Source organism: Homo sapiens, chromosome 6 (genome assembly GCF_000001405.40).
Source record: "Homo sapiens chromosome 6, GRCh38.p14 Primary Assembly".
Taxonomy (NCBI): Eukaryota; Metazoa; Chordata; class Mammalia; order Primates; family Hominidae; genus Homo; species Homo sapiens.
In genome coordinates this window covers 108,539,413-108,559,775 of record NC_000006.12, presented here as the reverse complement: position 1 = coordinate 108,559,775, position 20,363 = coordinate 108,539,413, and the positions used below count along the sequence as shown (strand labels likewise).

The window sequence follows — 20,363 nt, the reverse complement described above, 5'->3', positions numbered from 1 at the left end:
CAACCTAGGCTGACGGCGGGCGGGTCCCCGCCCAGGGGGAGGGCTGGGCGGCGGGCTGGGCGGCGGGCCGGGCGCGCGGCGGGCGTGCGTGTGTGAGTGCGCGTGTGTGAGCTCGCGCGCGCCTGCGCGGCCCGGCTCCGCGGGGCTGCGGGCGTGGGTGTCCGGGCGCGCGCCGTGGGCCGGGACTCGGCGGGCTCCCGCTGCTGTCCCCGCTGGGCTCCTCCTCCCTCCCGAGAGTCTCAACGACAACAAAGCGCGGCGCTGGCCCGGGAGAGGAGGGAGAAGGGGGGAGAAGGGAGGAGAGGAGGAAGAAGTGGGGAGAGGAGGGAGAAGGGGGAGCGGCAGGAGCGCACAGCCCCCGACGCTCCAAGGAGCGCAGCGGCGTGGCCTCCCTGACTCCGGGCAGGGCGCCTGGTACCAGGGGGTCCCTGGCCTGCGCGTCCGCCCGCCGGGCTCTGGGCCAGCCCCGGTGTCCGGTTCCCTGTTAGAACGCGACACCAGGTAACACCCGAGATAAGATGCTGGCCGCAAGATGGGCAGGGTTATCGCGGTGTGGAAATACTGAACGGCGAAGATGTTGGTGCCTGCACAACTTCGATAAGCTGATGCTCACAGATTCGATCAGGCACCAAAAGGTTTGCACTGAGTCTCTCACCTCGGACGGTGGACCACAGTCGTGTTTCACTTTTCATGGGTTTCATGGCAAACGGGGGAGAGGTGTAACTAACTCCGGAAGAAATGCAAATTTACCCCCGTCCTACATTCAAGAGCAGATTCCGAACAACTGAGAAGGGGAAATAATTTTAATCTAATTTGTAAATGACGACAAAACCGCTACGTGGGCATTTTTGACTTTTAAAAAAAGACGTATCCTTTAGGTTAAACGAAAAACATCTGCACAAGTCCTTATTCTACGATCCGTGCCCCAAATCGTTTATTTGTACTCTACGAATGCACCACACGCGACATGCACACCAAAAGTCTACACACTAGTTCATAAATATATTTTTTAAAAAATCCTTGTAAGTCACCGGAGATAGCTCAGAGTGTAGAAGCGGGCTCCTCAACGACCCCATACACAAAAAGGTCCAGCCCAGCGTACGCAAGAGCCAGCCCGCCCAGCCGCCTCCGGGCTCCGGGCTTTGCGCAGCGCCCGTCACTCAAGTGACGCGCGGCCCCGCCCCTGCACCAAGCTAGTTCGACGCGTACAAACAGATGATGTCATCGTATCCACACGCGCGTGACCCCGGAGCTCTCCGCCGCGTCGCCATTCGCTGCGCCGCTTACTCGTCAAGGCACGCCGCGCGCTGACTGGCCGCGGCCACCAGTCTCCAGGCCCCAGACGCCCCTCTCCGCCCCCCCGCCCCCGCCCCCCAGCAAATAATAAACAATCGAGTAAAATTCTAAGGAAGGAGAGAGAGGAGAGGGAAAAAGGGAGAGGGCGCACTAGAAACCAATCCTTCGCGCGCTGGCGGTGGGAGGGTTCAAGGGGGGACGCGAGAGGACAGCGGACGGGAGGAAGGCAGCCGACTTGGGGCGGTGGGTCTGCCAGCGAAGAGGAGGCGTCGGGGGAGGAAAGTTGCAGCGCACTCGACTGGGCGCGCCTGGCGGGGTAGGGGGCGCTAGGGCCCGGAGCGGCGGGGCTGGGGGCTCGGGGGCGGGGCGCGACCCGCCGAGGGGGCGGGGACTGAATGGCGCCGGCCGACACGTGCGGGAGGAGGGCGGGCGCGCGCCACACACACTGGGCCGGGGCGCGCGGCCCTGGTAGCCGCGCGCGCTTGTTTACCAGCGCACGTGGGTGTTATTTTTAAATGGAATGTGGCGCTGGCTGCGCTGCCGAGTGGCGGGCGCGTGGGGCCGCCCGCGCTGGCGGAGGGACGCGGCGGGGCCCGCGGCGCGGCCTCTCCGGGCGCTGCTCGCGAGACAGCTAGGCTGTCCCCACTGCGCGCCGCTGGCATAGCCGGCGGCCCGGGCCGGGGAACCTGATTGAGAGTTTCGCGCGCTGCCCGAGCCGCGGCGGAGACGACGGTTTCCCGCCGCGGAACGCCGCCGTCTTTGCGCCCAGCTCGGCTCCCTCATTCTCACATTCAGGGAACAAAGCCTCCTGTTTGTGCTTCGCCCAGGAGGCCGCGCCAGTCCGCGGCCACGGTTTCTAGAGCAGATCTCACAAGCTGCACACACTCACTGGCACACATACTTTGGCTGCGAGGTGGACCCTCAGCACCCTACGTACTCTGTGTCCTCGCTTCCTTGTACCGAATGCCCGCAGTCCACATGTGCCTGTCTCGTGGGCATGCGGCTCTGCCCACATATAAAAGCGTTTCTGCTATTTCGGGTTGCCCTTGGAAGGGGGAGTCTGGGGAAGGGGGCTCTGACTGCTTACTGCGGTGGCTCCTCCTCACGAGGCACCTCTCCTCTCCTTGTAGGCCTGTCCCACTGAGAAGCCCCAGGTTTGCATTGGGTTTACAGCCTGGGAGTGTGGATGGTGATGTATGACCACAACTCGGCTTCAAGTGCCAGTGCTTGGGGTGCGGGTTGGGTATGGTGGTGGTTAAAAGCTGGTATTCAGCTTTGCACGAAGAACTGGAAGGCTAGATCACCCAGGGCCGCGCATCGTGATGCAGCATAAAATTCCAAGAATTTTCGTTGCTGGCTTTAAATACTTGTAACACTGTAGAAGAAATCCACGCGTTTTCTTCTCTAAATCTAAGCAATCTTTTGTCATTAGAGTGCAGACCTGCAAAAGTAGAAAGAATGTGTTTACAGTGGCTGGGCTCTCGGCCATTAGATTTTCACTATAAACATGTTGAGTGTCCATTTACAGAACACATATCCCAGGGGCATTCCAAAAGAGTGGAGGAGTCAAAGATTCAGTGGATTAACAGAGCCTTGTGAGCTTCACTTCACAGTGAGGAATGGGGGGCAGGCACATGATAAAGCCATTTCCCTCAAAGAGCTTACTTGAGGGTATAAGACATGTTACTTGGGGGTATAAAACATGTTAAAAAGAAATATTGCAAGTTTAAAAATAGTAGAAGGCCGGGTGCAGTAGCTCACACCTGTAATCCCAGCACTTTGGGAGCCCAAGGCAGGAGGATGCCTTGAGCCCAGGAGTTCAAGACCAGCCTAGACAACATGACGAAACCCAGGTGTCTACAAAAATACAAGAAGTCCCAGCTATGGGAGGCCGAGGTGTAAGGACGGATCGCTTGGTCCCAGGAGGTCCAGGCTGCAATGAGCCATGATTGTACCACTGCACTGCAGCGTGGGTGACAGAGTGAGGCCCTGTCCTCCCTCCCTCACCACAAAGGAAAAAAAAAAAAAACAGTAGAAGACAAATACAAGAGGTCATACATAGAGTGTTGGGTAAGTTTCAAGTGAATTGAAGATCAAAAAGCTTCACTTGGAAGTGACTATAAACTTGCAGCTTTGTAAATGTGCACCTTACCCTTGTAATTTGTGCATATGGGCAAACCTTTGAGAACTAAGAGGTTGAATCTCAGAGACTGTTCTCTTTTAGCCACAAATTGCCTCGACCTTTGCCTTCCTCTTGTAGGCCTCCTTGTTCCTTCTCCATTTCTTCCTACCAGAAGTTATGGTTGTTAATTGAGAGGAAATGCCAGCATTCCCTTCAAGGCAGAATTTTTGGTCAAAACTTTTCCCACCTCTTATTGAACAATTTTATATCCTATTTATTTCTATTAATAATTTAAGGTGGTGATTGTTCACTCTATTTTGCAAATCCAGTCACTGGAGGGACAAAATTTAAGATGTTTACCTAAGTAAGCTGGGTAAAAATCACCATTTCAAACACCTAGTTGTGAGGGGATTCGTGGTAGAGACCAGGGCTCTCCCTCTGAGGAAACACCACTCACTCAGCACTTGTGTGCTAGCCCAGTTCTCCTTGTACCTAGGCCAGCTGGAGCCTCCCTCTGACCCCAGAGCCCACATTCTAGGAACTGAGCCTACTGCCCTTCAGCAAGTGCACATTTTCCTCTTGGGTTGGCTTCTGTGTCCATCTCAATGAAGACAGGAAACCAGTAGGATGAGGTTCCTAACGAGTATGTGACCCATCTGATATAGCTGCTCCCCAGTCTATGTCTGACACCCTCATTAGACCCTTTCTCTGCTTACCCTCTCCTCAGCAAATTACTCTCATGCAGTGTGTCTTTATTGAACACCGTGTACCAAACAGCTATGAGCTGTGGCTCGCCCTTTGGGGCATCATTCCAGACAGGTTTCATCACCACGCTCTCCACAAGTATCTGCAGCTCCTGTCCTCTCTCTTTCCCTTTCTTCCCTTGGCATGACAAACCCTGGCAAAGCGTCCCCTAGGTTGTTACGATGATGCATTTGGAGGGCAAGTATGTATGCTTGCAGGGTAAAAAAAAGCCGGGGTTCCAAAAAAGAGTGAACATTTACCTGAAATGGAATTGGATAGAAGAGAAATTGGGAAGAATTCTCTGTTTTGGTAATAGGAGATAATGATATTTGTCATTACCCAACCTTGATTTGTCAGTAAGTTGCAGGTCCTGAATTAAGCACTTTATTGGAATGCTTAGACCTCACAAAGACCATGTGAGGTACATACAATAGTGCTAAGTGGCAGGGGGTTGAGAATTCAGGCTCTGAGTTAAGTCTGATTCCTCATTTACCAGCCATGCGACCTTGGGATATTACTTAATCATGAAGCCTCATGTCTTTATCTTTAAAATGAGAATACCTTCTAAGATTGTTGGAAGGATTGGGATAATTGAAATTATGAATCTAAAGCACTTAGTATTAGAGCACTAGGGGGTGCTTTAAAAATAGTCATGCCCAGGCTCCACCTTGGACCAACTGAATTAGAAATTCTGAGGTCAGGGTCTGGCATTGACTGATTGTTGTTGTTGTTGTTTTTAAATATTTGCCAGGTGAATCTAAGGCAGTGAAGGTTGAGAACCCTGAGATAGAGGTCTCTGTGCTGCACATGCCAGCGTTTGCCTTCAGCTCTGACTCTCTGGTTCCTGCTTAGAATGAGGACAGAGCCATGAACTGACTACACACAGGGGGCAGCTTCCATACACAAAACATCTCGGTTTGTTTCTAGAACAACCTACCACAGCAGGGACCATCCCTCTCATTTTACCAGGATTTGCCTCAGGTCACACAGTGAGTGGCAGGCCTAGGATTCGAACTGAGAATTCTGAGTCCATGGTGCATTCTCCTCTTCCCCAGTACTGCACTGCCTCTCCAAAATGAGCCTAAAGAAAGGGGGCTTTATGTGAGCCTTTTGGCCTGGAGAAAAGGGGCTGGAACCAGATAAGCAAACATAACCCGAGACACTTCCCCAACCTGTCTAAAGCTAGTGGTTATCTGGCCAAATCTGCCCCAATAGGGTTAGTTTTTGGTTCTCTCTGGTGTTTTTTAAATTTTTGATCTCTTGAGGTCAGGAATTCAAGACCAGCCTGAGCAAGATAGCAAGACCCCCATCTCTAAAATCTTTTAAAATTAGCTAGGTGTGGTGGCATGCACCTGTAGTCCCCCAGGTGCTTGGGAGGCTGAGGTGGGAGGATCACTTGAGTCCAGGAATTCAAGGCTGCAGTGAAATATGATTGTGCCACTGCACTACAGCTTGGATGACAGAGAAAGACTCCATCTCTTAAAAAAAAAAAAAAAGTTTCTTAGTCTGTTGCCAACATTTAAAAGGAAGAGATTTCACCTAAAATTTGGATTTCTAGCTCTTCTTGAGAAATTGGAAGATATGGTAACACTGGCACTATACCCACAGGGTAACAGTTAGCTGGTATGTGCTCTAGTTAGTTCACCTCTTCCTCATCAGGCTCTCCCCACCAATCTCTGGGTGACTTAGCCACCCTGATTTGGATCTTTTACCTTCATAGTGGCATTGACCCGCTCCAGTTCATGAGAGAAGACTGTGCACATCTTGGTAGTTTGAAATGGACTACTATGGGAGTATTTACATCACAGAAATTGGCAAATCCATCAAGGCTTGCTTGCTTTTTTTTTTCCTTCCTTTTCTTCTTTCGGAGGGCCAGTCTGCCAGCACACCATTGCCCCTACTCCACTCAGCCACTGTCTTGCATTCTGAGGAGGAAGATTTGTTCTGAATAGAAAGTAAAGGAAACAGAAGCACTGGAGAAACTGTACGTCGATTCTGCTTAGCAACTGATTATACATTATCTAACCTTGTTTTTAAAGTACTTCAATTTAACACAATGGAGCAAATAACCAGAACAAACTTCCTGATGAAAACTAAAGCTGGATAAGATTTTTAAAAATTTTTTAAATGGATTTTATTGAGCTGGCAAAAAAGGAAGAAACCCACAGAGACCAAAAACAAAGTTAAGGTGGGAAGTGAGCACACTCCTAGAAAATCTGACAACATTTGAGCTTCTACTTTGACAGGTGTGTAGAGTCTGGGACACAGAAGATAAATCCTCAGTCTTGTCCAAGATCAGGAGAATAAGAAGACTCTACCCCCCTAAAACCAGAAGTCCAAAGGGCCAAAGTAAAGGCGAATGTGAAATTAACTGGCTTTGCAGAAGAGGATCCCAGGAAAAATCGTCTGTCTTGATCAAAGCCCTGAATAAAAGAGTATAAAAAATATTCTTCCTTGAAAATTCACAACTATGGTGTGGTCCGTATGTAATATTATGACCAAAATTCATGATACCATGGAATTATTTTAAAAACTTCATGAGCCCCAGTTTGTGGTGCTTTTAACAACTGGCAGAAGGAAAGACACATCCTCTTGGAGGGCTATCTTGAGCCTAGGCCCCAAAGAACTTCCATAATCATAATCAGAAAACACAAAACATATAATAAGCAAGGCTCCATGTAGGAGCAGACAGAAACAAAATGTAAGGTCAGATACACAAAGGCTGGGGTATGAGAATAAGCTGACACAGAAAATAAGTGTACTTAATAGGTTTAAACAAAAAGGAAGTTTGAAAATAGAAGAAAGGAACAAGAGTCTATAAAAAACAACTGAGTAGATTTGAAATCAAAATACTTCTTTGTTTTTCTTCCCAGCTAGATATTATGTCCTTGAAGACACAGGGATCAGGCTAAACACTATATGTTATCGTTTGTCAATTGAAGGAAGTTAGAAACAAAGTACTCAATTTTTTTTGAAACCCAGCAGTAAGAATGAGAGTTGTGACTACATTTTTAAAATGTAAATGTAAAAACTCCTGTTGTAAATGTTAATCAATCTCTTCTAGAGGAAAGGAAGACAAAATCAAAATTAATGCAATGCTTCCGGCTGACTGGCCTCCAGCAAATGGCATTGAGCTTTGTAAGTGGTCCATCTACTCCATTTCTCATCTTGCAAAAATTTGTGAAGTGAGCATGTGTCCATGTCCATGTGTTAGAAAATCTATTTAAAATGCTGGCTGGGCGCAGTGGCTCACCCCTATAATCCCAGCATTTTGGGAGGCAGGGGCGGGAGGTTCACTTGAGGCCAGGAGTTCGAGACCAGCCTGGCCAACATGGTGAAGCCTCATCTCTACTAAAAATACAAAAATTAGCTGGGCGTGGTAGTGCGCACCTGTAATCCCAGCTACTCGGGAGGCTGAGGCAGGAGAATCACTTGAAACCGGGAGGCAGAGGATGCAGTGAGCTGAGGTCATGCCACTGCACTCCAGCCTGGGCGACAGAGCAAGACTCTCAAAAATAAATACATAAATAAACAAAATGCTTAGTAATTGGAACTTTAAATACAAATTACTTTAAAACATTGATGTGGGACAGGCACAGTGGCTAACGCCTGTCATCCCAGCACTTTCGGAGGCCCAGGCGAGCGGATCATGAGGTCAGGAGTTCGAGACCAGCCTGGCCAACACAGTGAAACCCCGTCTCTACTTAAAATAGAAAAATTAGCCAGGTGTGGTGGCACGCGCCTATATTCCCAGCTACCCGGGAGGCTGAGGCAGGAGAATCGCTTGAACCCGGGAGTCAGAGGATGCAGTGAGCCAAGATTGTGCCACTGCACTCCAGCCTAGGCAACAGAGCGAGACTCCAACCCTACCCAAAAAAAAAAAATTGAAGTGGTACTTCAAAGAAATCAAGGCCATGTGGAATCATTCATTACTCTGCACAATACATCGCATCTCCCTGGTTTGGTTTGGCATGTCCACTTATGTGTAAAGTTTCCTGGAATAACCTGGTACTAAAGCCCCCCAAAGGATGTGATTTGGAGCTCCAGGGACATTAAATCTGATTATTGTTCCTCCCACATCCATATCTAGAAATGGAGTAAACCTGTGAAACTGGAAGACAGCAGAGGAAAAATAAAATGTTTGGCAAATTTTGCGACTCTGATGTAAACAGTCTAAAATTTTCAAGCTAGCATGAGGCCTGTGTGCATGTGACTGCACATCTTGGCATAGAAAACTGCTAAGTAAAGGAATTACCAGATAGCTGACCAGAAGGAGGTTCCTTCAGGGTAGCGTACCCAGGAGGGCACGGAACCTCCACACCCCTTCCCCTATACCTTGCCCTCTATACCTCTTCTTCTGTATCCTTTGTAATATTCTTTATAATAAATCTATAAACCTCTAGGTGAGGACACACGTAGAGTGCCCGAGGAAGGCAAAGGCTCCAGTGATGTAGAAAATACCGTAGGTCCTGATATTAGGACAGTGTAAATGACCCTGGTTGATGGTGTAATAACCCAGTAAAGAGTCAACAAGAAGATCAACTAATAGCAGGGGCACAGAATGAAGTAAAGAAACAAAGAAATGGAGCTAAATGACAGTCCTCAGCCTTGCAAGGCCTCTCCTGCCCCTGTCAGAAGACAGCGGCACACATAGAAGAGCATGAGTATGGGGGAAAGGCCAGTCCCATGGACAGATGGGGAACCCTTTCCTCTCATTTCTCCAGCTGCGTTGGGTTCTGTTTACCTGTAGACAAAGAAAGAAAAGTACCAAGTCAAGCTACCACAGCCCCTATAAAGATAGTGTATTTGAGTCTGAATGCTATCCATTAGCGATGGTTCAACTGTCTCAGAAGAAAATTTTTCCTTTGTTGGAGGAACTTTTCTCTCAGTTCAGGTCCTGGTTGAGCCCTACTTGGTGGTCTCTCAGAGTAGAGGTCCTAATGGTGTTAGTGGGACAAGCTTGTGAGGCCTTGTCTTCCCACTCCAAGAGATGGTGTCCAAGTCATCTGGCCTGAGACCATCGGAGTTTTCACCAGAGAAGTGGTTTTGGCTGGGGGTCAGATTCACTTTCCTCGGAAAGCAGCTCTGCTCCACGTGTTAGAAAGGCTTACCTCCCTTCCTTTCCCACTCCCTGGCATAGTTCACATTCCTTTAATATCCCATATCTGTGTCTCCTTAGGGGCTCCTTGTGCTCATTTCTGGAGAGACAGCTGAAGCCACCAAAATAGGTGACAGAATCACTAAGTGAGACATCTGTGAGGAGGAAGTCTCCAGGCCTTCAAACACAAGTTATTTTATGAAAGCATAACATCTGAACCTCACACATTCACACAGTATCAAGAGTCCTTTTGCAACTTCACTTCTCAAATGTATAATCTGAAGGGTTTTTTTTTTACACTTAAAATGACTTTTATAAAATCTGTATTTTGGAAACAAATAATGAAGCCAAGTGAGTAATTCCATAAACAAACACAATCCCTGTGGTTCTCATCCTATTTAGGGAACTTGACCAAATCCAGTCACTTTGGGTCAGGCCTTCCTATTTTCTATGGAAAGTGAAACCCCTCTTGGAGTTTCTGGGGATATTGCCATTCGGTAAAAAGATGAGGTTTGAGCTGGGCCCTTTCTTTTCACTTGTGCCACGAAAATATTAATATGTTATTGAAGAGGGAGTAGGTTGTCATGACAACCATGACCAGTAGGGTCCATGTGACCTATGTGGAGCCTGGGAACCAGAGAGGCTGTGGCCTGCACAGGCTCGCCTTTTTCCAGTGGATGGGCAGCAGAGTAGGGGCTATAGGAAATGTCAGTGGCCTCAAAAACCACTGTCAGCAGTCCCCCAGATCTGAAAACTCTGGGTAAAGTAGCAAAATCAGGTTTCTTTACCTGCTAAATAATCAGATCTGAAGAAAACTACTGGCAGAAGAATTCCATGAGGCCCAGTCCAAAAGAGGCAGCCATCTTGACCCATTTCCCTCTTATAAACTTGATATTATAAAAAAATTATTCTTGTCAAACTAATTGATCCCCAAGTGAACAATGAGAATTGCATTCCTTTCACAAAAGCATAAAAACTAGTTTGTCTATATCTGTTTTCAGTTAGTCCCTCTCCACTTTTTCACAATTGTTGTACATTAATATTGGAATGAGACCAGGTCAAAATTTATATGTCGTGTTGCTTAATTTCTGCATTCAAGAAATACTCAGAAGATGAGAATGTTAGATGGCTTGGAAAATTCTGTCTAGAAGTCTTTAATAGTATCCTACCTAGTGCTACTTTATTCTCTCATATGTAAAAAATGTTTATTAACCTTGCATCTTTCAACTTACCCAAAATGAAACAAAGAAATATTTTATAAAACACCTGTATTTTTTACTTGTCCCACATCTATGAGGATGGTGCTTCTGTCTCCTTCTTCAGCATACGCATTTTTTTTTCACTTTTTATCAGGAAATATGCATACAGGCCAGGCTCGGTGGCTCATGCCTATAATCCCAGCACTTTGGGAGGCCGAGGTAAGTGGATCACTTGAGGCCAAGAGTTCAAAACCAACCTGGCCAACATGGTGAAACCCCTGTCTCTACTAAAAATACAAAAATTAACTAGGCATGGTGATGGGCACCTGTAATCCCAGCTACCCGGGAGTCTGAGGTGGAAGAATTTCTTGAACCCGGGAGGCAGAGGTTGCAGTAAGCAGAGGTTGCACCACCGCACTCCAACCTGGATGACAGAGCAAGACTCCATCTCAGAAAAAAAAAAAAGAAAAAAAGAAATATAACATGCATATAGAAAACTGAAAAACATTTATGTTAACAGTACAGTTTAATGAATTATTATAAAGAGAACAACCAAGTGTAACTATCACCTAGATCAGGAAATAGAACATTACTATTCCCCTATAAATCCCTGGAGTGCCCTTCCCCATCAAAACCATCCTCTCGACTTGGTGCGGTGGCTCACACCTGTAATCCCAGCACTTTGAGAGGCCAGGTTAGGAGGATCACTTGAGCCCAAGAATTCAAGGTTGCAGTGAGCCATGATGGTGCCACTGCACTCCAGCCTGGGCAACAGAGCAAGACTCCCTGTTTCCAATTAAACAAACCCCTCTTCTCTCTCCCTAAAAGTAATCATTTTCCTAACTTTTGTGGTAATCATCTCTTTGCTTTTCTTTATAGCTTGCTGTGTTTGCATCCCTAAACACTGTAATCTCATTTTTTTCCTGTTTTTGATCTTCATATGAATTGTATCACACTGCATGTGTTCTTTTGTGTCTTGCTGCTGCTTCTCAATATTATGTTCCTGAGATTCATCTATGTTGCTGTGTGTTGCTGTATTCATTCATTTTCATGGCTGTATGACATTTCATTATATGAATAGTTATCTATCTATAATCTATAATACTTTATTGATCTATTCTAATGTTGATGGCTAATTGGGCTGTTTCCAGTTTAGAGCAATTGCAAACATTGTTGTTCTAAACATTCCTGGGCACATGTGCATGAGTTTAATATACGCTTTTACTTATTTATTTATTTTTAATTTTGTAGAGATGGAGACTCGATATGTTGCCCAGGCTGGTCTCGAACTCCTGGCTCCAAGTGATCCTCCTGCCTCAGCCTCTCAAAGTGCTGAGATTACAAATGTGAGCCACCACGCCTGACCCGAGTTTAGTATATACTTAATAGAAGAATTTCTGGGTAATAGCCCTATGCATCTTCTACATCACTCAATGCCAGATTGTTTTCCACAGTGGCTGTAGGGTTTATACTCTCCACAGCACTGTGTGAGTATCTACTTGGCCACATTCTCACTAGCACTTGGAATTGTTGGACTGTTTAAGTTTTCTTCTTTTAGTGATGATGGATTTAAACAATTCAGATTTAACTAAGATTTACTGCATACCTACTAAGAAGTAGTGCCTATAACTAGAAGCTTCTAAATGTATATATTTAATCATCATAAAAATCATAATATAAAGGATTATAAAATCATCCCTATAAAGGAGATAATTTTATCCCCATTATATAAATGAGGAGATTGAAGTTTGGCCACAGGCCTGAGATTTCCCAGCTGAGGTGCTGGCAGAGCTGAGACTTGAACCCAGGCCTGGCTGACTGTAAAGACCACACTCTCCCCATGTTGCTACAGTCTCCATCCCTGCACCCTGCTTCCCCTTATCCTCACCTGGAAGACAACTGACCGGGTTGGAGGCATGTTGCCTCTGGCCCACATGAGCCCCTCACTGGGGACCAGGCCCTGGCTCTGTCCTCACAGACACTCTGCTTTAACTAACGAAGTTTACCACCCAAGGAAATGCTGCTGGAGGGTCATGCTGCACTAGCCCAGTTGAACCACAATTCTCCTGTTAGAAATGATTTCTCTTAGATACTCCTCTAACTGTTTTTTGTTTGTTTGTTTTTTGAGACGGAGTCTCGCTCTGTCGCCCAGGCTGGAGGGCAGTGGCGTGATCTTGGCTCACTGCACCCTCCACCTCCCAGGTTCAAGCGATTCTTCTGCCTCAGCCTCCCAAGTAGCTGGAATTATATCCGTGCGCCATGACGCTGGCTACTTTTTGTATTTTTAGTAGAGACAGGGTTTCGCCATGTTGGCCAGGCTGGTCTCAAACTCCTGACCTCAGGTGACCTGCTTGCCTCGGCCTCCCAAAGGGCTGGGATTACAGGCATGAGCCACCGCGCCCAGCCACCTTTAACTGTTTATTCTGTCTTGTTGAATGCTGAGAAACCCACTTCCTTCTCTCACAGCCTCAGCCTCATTTAGTTCTGTTAAGTCCTTTTGCAGTGGGATCTTTCCTCTCTTACTCTGAGCTACTAGAGGGTAAAGTCTGTCTCCTGATCCCTTTTCAGAAAAGCACATGTTGAAGACCCAGGTTGCCCAGGTCAGGAATCAATGTGAGAGAAAGGGCACAGGAACCAGGAGATGTGGCTGCTCTACCCTGCTCCATCCTTGGCTCACCCAACACATTTGACCTCCCTGAGTCTCAGTTTCCTCTTTTATAAATGAAAGTGCTGAACTAGAGAATCTCAGACGCAGTTTCTAGGGCTAGCTTCTGTGACTATGTTAATGAATTTCTTCAACAAGCATTTACCCAACACCCTCTGTGTGCACCAATTTACAAGCAAAACTTCTGGCCTGTATCACTGACAGGTAAAATTCCACAAAGCTGTTGTGTTTTCCCTTGTTTACATGTTTGTGAATGTTCATTATTTCTTCATGGTTTAGCTATTTCTAACCTTTGAACTTAGCTGATTTTTTAGCAAGGGCTGTTTTCTCACTAGACTGGAAGCTCATTGAGGCCAGGCATTGTGTCTAACTGGTCTTTGTATATTCAGCACATAGCAGGCACTCAATAAATGTAGAACGAAGGAAGAGAGGGAGGGAGGAAGGAAGGTTTAATCCTTGAACTCTTCCCATATCTATGATATCACTGGGCACAAGAAACAGTTGGTAGTTAAGCCACAGTTCCTGACCACAGAGGGTGCCATTGGTAGCAGGTTCTGACCTTTTACCAAATCAGCAAATCATCAGAGCTATAGAAAATCAGATTATTTTTATCAAAGCTTTTTGCAGGTACCTAATGTAATCATGGCCCTGATAAAGGATGCCAAGTGCTCCTGAGTGCAAAAGAGGAGAGAAAAATATTATAATTAATTTATTGGACTCATTTGACTTCTAATCATAGAAAATCTACTGCTCTGGGAGATCCTCATTTCTGCTGAATTGGCATTGCCATAAGGCAACCGGTTCTTGTTAGTTTTTGTTAGAGGGTTTCAGAGATGTTCTTTAGGAAGACCTCATTTTCTTTACCTGCATCCAGCTGTGGGTTCAAACTTCCTGGTGATCTGTGATTTATTATAATCTGCCCCAATTAGCTTTCCTTCCCATAGTTACCACTTTACCCCTCACTTGAACATAAAATATAAAATCTTTCTTGTGTTCTTCTGTGCTTAGCCAGGGTACCTGCTTGCACTCACATGGCAACCCCTTGCCCTCCCAAAAAGAAGCCTTGGACTATAGAGCTCCTCCTGGATGGCAGGGGGTGGGAAACAGACTGCCCCCATCCCCAACCAAAATCTGATCACTGGCTGGGCTTGGAGGATCAGGTCACTGATTAATTTTTTTCTTTACCATTTCCCTCTAAGGTATCCAAGATAAGAGGACTAATTTCTAGGTAGAGAAGTGAAATCTGTTTTTCAAAGTGCTGGAATGACCCTGTAATATAGCCCAATCGATGGCTTCAGGCTAAGTTCCTATCTCACAAGGCTTGCATCTCTCTAGCCGGCTGGGCCTTGGAGAGGTTCTGAAGGAAGACCTCAGCCACGGAACCACTCACAGCCACCTGCTCCTCTCCTGTTTGAGGTTCTGGGGTCCTGAGACAGCATCTGACCACAAGTGTTCTGGCCTTTACCCTGATGTGGCGTGGGAGTGCAGGGGGTGAACTTGTCCTCAGCTCTATACCAGGCTATGCTAATGTCAGGAGTTGAGGTCCTAAGGTAAGAGAATGGGTCCATCATCTTGCTTTTGTCCAGTCTGGCTCCCCTAGGGTAGGGGGTGGGGGGCTCATTGCAGCAGCTGCTGGCCTATCAGGCTGCAGTTTTATTATGGTAATCCCCCACCTCCCCTTTCTTCCCCTCCTGTCTCCTCAGTAGTCCTCAGTTATTTAGCAGTGAACACTTCCAGAGGAACCCTGCGGAGAAGGCATTCTGTCAAGTGCCAGGTCCCTGTCTGCCCCATGCATGCCGTGCTAATGTCAAGGCTGTGGAGCTAAGCCCTATGTAGGCCCATTCTTTAAAAACCAGATGGTGGAGTTCTTCGGGGAAGGGATGTGTCTTGGCCTTTTTCCCTTCTGGGTTTCCTGGAGCTGTTACAACAGCTCTGCCAGTGGCCTCCAAACATTGCCTGAGATTGAGAAACCATACCTCACACAACCATGTGCTACTATTTTTGAATGGTATTTATATGCCTTATAAATATTTATCATTATGAATTTTTCTCAATCAGTGGGTAAAAGCAATCATGGGAGATGCCTTGAAACCGTCTGACATTAAAAAGGGCTATCTTGTGCAGAAAAGTTGGGCAAAACTATCAATGGCTCTTTTTTTTTCCTGACTGCCGATTAGTCCATGCCCATATCACTGGCTTCCTTTTCTTTGGGGATGAGGCTAAGGAAAAAAATGCCAGCACTTTTGCATCAGCAAGGGAATTCTACCCTAATAGAGAATGGACTTAATATCTTTGTAGTTCTGCCTTCCTTGACCTATAACTGTTGTCACAGGAAAGATTCACATTGGAGAAAAATATCCCTTTTAAAAAAGAGATGAGCTATATAATAAAGCTTAATATTTATTCTGAGTTTTATAACCACCACCATCACCCTATTCTAATCTTGCATAGCTTAAAAAAATTGAATAGTTGCTGAAAAGGGATTCACCTCAGGGATGAGACCCAAGGTTGGAGCATCTTTCTCCTGAAGGGATGAAGTTTCACAACAATCTTGGGAGGTGAAACTGGGTCTTGTCAATGGAGGCCTCAGTGGTATTTGCACCATTGTTTTGCCTGAGTGAACCCTACAGTTAACCAGGGTGGATTGGTCCACTTTGCAACCTGAGCCACATGTTATCCTAATACTGCTAATACCCCTGGCTACTGCTGTACTTGCTAGAATCATCTGCAGATGCTGTTTGACATCTCTCCACAGGGGTCCCTGTGGATCATCATTAATCCCTTTGCTGTGGGCTCCCCACTCCTGCTGCTACCAGCTGCCATTGTCCCCTGGATCTTTGCAAAATGGCCAGTGTCAGGGCACCCCTGTGTGCATTCAGCCACATGGCGGGAGGCAGCAAGTTGTGCTGCAAGCCAGCAGCTGGGCTGTGCATTGGACTGTAGCCTTCTTCAGGCTTCCAGTGTACTTCTAGAAGGTGCCTCCGCCAGTGCCTCCCTTGTTGCAAAGTTGTTTTGACCAATGACATGCCTTCACTTTCATTCTGTTCCTTAGGTTCCTTTCCTTTGAACCACCAAACTTTCTCCAAGTGCTCATTCCAGAAAACATTGCTGTTGAAGAAGGGCGTGTTTTCAGGTCAGGTTTTCTGGTTTTCTGGTTTTCCCAAGGGCCAGTCTGAGGCTGTCCCTGACTGCACCTGGAGAACCAGATCCCTTGACTCCCATTCGAGGCCTGAGCACTCTGCCGCCTGCTCCAAGGGCTTTCATCATAGTAACTGTAGCATCTCCTACCGTTTGTTTTTAATCTTACCTCCTATCTGCCATGTGTAAGATATTTGGAGGGACAGTATGGGAACAGAAAGACCTTTGGTGAAGTCTCAAGAATTTTCTGATTAAAATGAAAACATACATTGACTCCAGTTACATGGCTCATCTCACGGCTTAATATGCCAAGAAATAACCATGATATTTGTAAAACAGGATGAAGTTACCCACTAGAAGGAGAAAGAAGCCAAAACTGGTCAACCAGCTGGCCTGAGACAGTGCCTACTCGGCATGCTTCTAGTATGGTGAGGCACCTCTCAGCCTGTGGACTCCACCTCTCCTTAGTGCAGAGACTCAGATATCCTCAGAAAAGGGTGAAATTCAACACGAAGAATGAGGAGGAAACATCTCTAACTTCCACACATGGTATATATACCAAGTCTATTCAGGTCAGAATGAGTGCTTCCACATCATCTCTGCTAAGGGACAGGCATCACTCTCATTTGCAGGTGGGAGAGCGAGGCTGGAGGGTCAGACTTGGTTAGAGCAAGGCTGAAATCTCACCTACAGCTCCTGGCTCCAAATCTGTCCCTCCCAGAACCATTCTTACCAAGAAAATATCTTTCTCCGTTGACTCTGGTACCTGTCATGGGGCAACTTTTTCTGGTGAGTGTAACTCAGTGGGTGTCATTGTCTTACTTAGCTAAAGAATGACATCAGGATTGGAAGCATGTTTAGAGATCACCCCAAGGTTCACAGCTACCACAGTACCAGGGCACTTCATGTGTTCCTTGTGGGTGGTGGTGGTCAGACACACATGGTGCACTGATGCCATTCTTCCTAGAAAAACATCTGTCATCTGTGGCACACAGGGCACTTTGCTCATTTTATCTCTCAGCGGACTTATCACAGTGAGGCAGGTCACAACCAGAACCCCTATTTTGCAGATGCAGAAAGAAAAGGCAGAGGGAAGGAGAAGCAGAAACACACTGTCCCTTCCTATGGGTACATTCACTATCAAATTACACAGCATCTACTTGCTTTGGCCAGCACCTGGTATTGCTTTACAGAGAGTTATGGAAAACAAAAAGTATTTCTGTACATAGTCACTTACCCAGAAAAGCAAGCTGGCCAGGTGCTGGCTGGTTGTGGTTTCTTTAAGTTGGAGCAGAAGGGCTTTGCCTGAATTTCCTGATCTCCTCCCGCCATCTGGTGGCTGTGAGCTGAGCATACATGCAAATTTCAATCTTCATTTCCTGTACTCCTTACTTCAAACTCCCATGCTCCGTGATCTTCTGAGGTTTGATGAGGGAAGGAGGAAAGGGAGAAAGGTGAAGATAAAGGGAGAGGGGAGAGAGGAAAGGGAAAAGAGAGAAGGAGGGAGAGGGAGGAGAAAGAGGAGGAAAAGGAGGAGAGAAAATGTAAAAGGCATGTACCTGTGGCTTTCATTGTATGTTCTTCCTTAGGTCCCCTCACCCTCCATTCAGCTACAGAGAACCGTCAGCGTGTGGTGGAGACAAGCCATTCAGTTGCATTGACATTTTGTGGAGTGCCTATACTGGCTGTTGGACACTGCGCTAAGGGTTGGTCTGCAAAGTGGGCACTTAAAAGATCCACTGCTCTAGAGTAGTTTATCAACATTCATTTTAGACGGTATTTTATTATCGTGAAAAGCAAGGTACTGTTTCAACACACAGCAGTCTTTCACAGGGCACTTTTTCATTTTGATAAAGTCCAATTAATCAGTTTTTCCTTGTATGGGTTGTGTTTTAAATGTCAAGTCTAAGAACTCTTTGCCTAGTCATAGATCCTGAATATATTCTTCTATTTTTTCCTCAACAATTACACTTTACATTTAAGTATGTGATTGATTTTTAAGTTAAATTCTGTATGAGATATGAGTTCCAGGTAGAGATTTGTTTACTTTTTGTTGATAGCTATGTTTATCCAGTTGTCCCAGCACCACTTGTTGAAAAGCCTATCCTTCTCCTATTGAACTGCTTTTACAACTTTCTAAAAATCAGTTGGACATATCTGTGTAGGTCTATTTTCCAGTTCTCTATTCTGCTCCATTAATCTCTGTGACCATCCCTTCACCAAAACCACACAGTCTTGATTACTATAGTTATAAGTCTTAAAATTGGGTAGAGTGATTACTCTCACTTTATTTTTATTTTTCAATAGTTTTACCTTTTTTAGCTTTTTGTTTGCTTTTCTATATAATTTTTATTTTTCTTTTAAGATGGCATCTTGCTCTGTTACTCAGGCTGAAGTACAGCTTCATGATTATAGCTCAGCGCAGCCTCAAACACCCAGGCTCAAGTGATCCTCCTCCCTCAGCCTCCCGAGGAGCTGGGACTGCAGGCATGTGCCAATATGGTAGACTAATTTTAAAAAAAAATTTTGTAGAGATGGGGGTCTTACTAAGTTGTCCAAGCTAGTCTCAAACTCCTGGCTTCAAATGATCCTCCCACCTTGGCCTCCCAACTATGTAAATTTTATAATAATCTTGTCCAGATATATAAACAATCTTGCTGGGATTTTGATAGGAATTGCATTAATTTTATATATCAATTTTGGAATTGTCATCTCTGCTATATTGAGTCTTCTATTCTATTTTTTAAATTATTTTATTTTATTTTTTGAGGCAAGGACTTGTTCTGTTGCCCAGGCTGGAGTGCAGTGGCACAATAACAGCTCACTGCAGCCTTGACCTCCCAGGCTCGAGGAATCCTCCTACCTCAGCCTCCAGAGCAGCTGGGAATACAGGCACATGCCACCATGCCCAGCTAATTTAAAAAATATATTTTTTTTTGTAGAAATGGAGGTCTCTGTATGTTGTGCAGGCTGGTCTTGAACTCCTGGGCTCAAGTGATCCTCCTGCCTCAGCTCCCCATAGTACTGAGATTACAGGATTACAGATGCCCAGCCAAGTCTTCTAATCTATAAATATAAGTATGTCTTTCCATTCATTTAGATCTTTTATGATTAGTATTTTATAGTTTTCAGCATACGAATCATGTACATGTTTTGTTAGATTTGGACCAAAGTACTTTTTCTTTTTCTATTTTTGGCAATTGTAAATGGTATCATATTTTTAAGTTGAGTATCCATGTATTCATTGTCAATATATAGAAAGACACTTAACTTTTGTATGTCTATCTTGTATCCTATGACTTTGCTGAATTTATTAGTTTTAGAAACTTTTTGTAGACTTTTTTCAATTTCCTACATAGACAATAATAGCACTTGCAAATAGGGATAGGTTTTTTATTTTTGTTCTTTCTTTCTGATCTGTTTGTGTTTTCTTGCCTTATTGCACAAGCTAGGACCTCAACTCTACTATACTGAATAACAGTTAAGAGAATAGACATCCTTGCCTTCATCTGGGTCTTAGATTGGACCAGCCCTGCATCCTGAAATACACTGTTCTTGATGATGGTGTATAATTATTTTTATATATTGCTAAATTATATTTGCTAATATTTTGCTGAGGATTTTTGTATCTACACTAATGAGGGATATTGATCTTTGGCTTTATTTTTTCATACTGTCTTTGGTTTGTGTATCATAGTAATTCTAGCTTCATAAAATGAATTGAGAAGTGTTACCTCTGGAAGAGACTGAGATTTTCTGAAAGACATTGAGTAGAACTTGGTGTTACTTCTTTTTTGAACATTTGATAGGATTCTCTAGTGAGATCACCTGGGATTGGAGACTTCTTTTTTTGGAAGGTTTTTAGTTAGTGATTTAATTTCCCTAATAGTTATAGGGCTATTCAAATTATCTGTTTCATATTTGGTGAGTTTCAGTGGTTTGTGCTTTTCAAGGAATAAATCCATTTCATTTAAGTTGTGAAATTTATGTGTGTACAGATGTTCAGTCTTTTTTTTATTATCCTTTTGTGTGCAGATGTGGGAGTTTTAAAATAAATAATACCTAATATAATTTTTGGCTACAAATCACATCATGATGCAA

General features: G+C 45.2%; 1 long non-coding RNA gene across 1 annotated transcript, besides 4 other annotated features; it reads left to right on the top strand.

Annotated features, from left to right (window-relative positions):
- Window positions 25-94: a silencer, noted in NCBI's record as "silent region_17453". NCBI's record gives its function as "represses an Ori minimal core promoter by ATAC-STARR-seq in GM12878 lymphoblastoid cells {active_cell/tissue: GM12878}" and the evidence as "EXISTENCE:reporter gene assay evidence [ECO:0000049][PMID:35858748]".
- Window positions 135-494: a silencer, noted in NCBI's record as "silent region_17452". NCBI's record gives its function as "represses an Ori minimal core promoter by ATAC-STARR-seq in GM12878 lymphoblastoid cells {active_cell/tissue: GM12878}" and the evidence as "EXISTENCE:reporter gene assay evidence [ECO:0000049][PMID:35858748]".
- Window positions 1,025-1,084: an enhancer, noted in NCBI's record as "active region_24914". NCBI's record gives its function as "activates an Ori minimal core promoter by ATAC-STARR-seq in GM12878 lymphoblastoid cells {active_cell/tissue: GM12878}" and the evidence as "EXISTENCE:reporter gene assay evidence [ECO:0000049][PMID:35858748]".
- LOC124901372 (uncharacterized) lies at window positions 1,270-8,311 on the top strand. The gene is made up of 2 exons (XR_007059700.1): window positions 1,270-1,612; window positions 6,409-8,311. It is a non-coding gene; the product is annotated as an uncharacterized LOC124901372 (long non-coding RNA).
- Window positions 1,655-1,924: a silencer, noted in NCBI's record as "silent region_17451". NCBI's record gives its function as "represses an Ori minimal core promoter by ATAC-STARR-seq in GM12878 lymphoblastoid cells {active_cell/tissue: GM12878}" and the evidence as "EXISTENCE:reporter gene assay evidence [ECO:0000049][PMID:35858748]".
- Window positions 8,312-20,363: the final 12,052 nt, after the last annotated feature.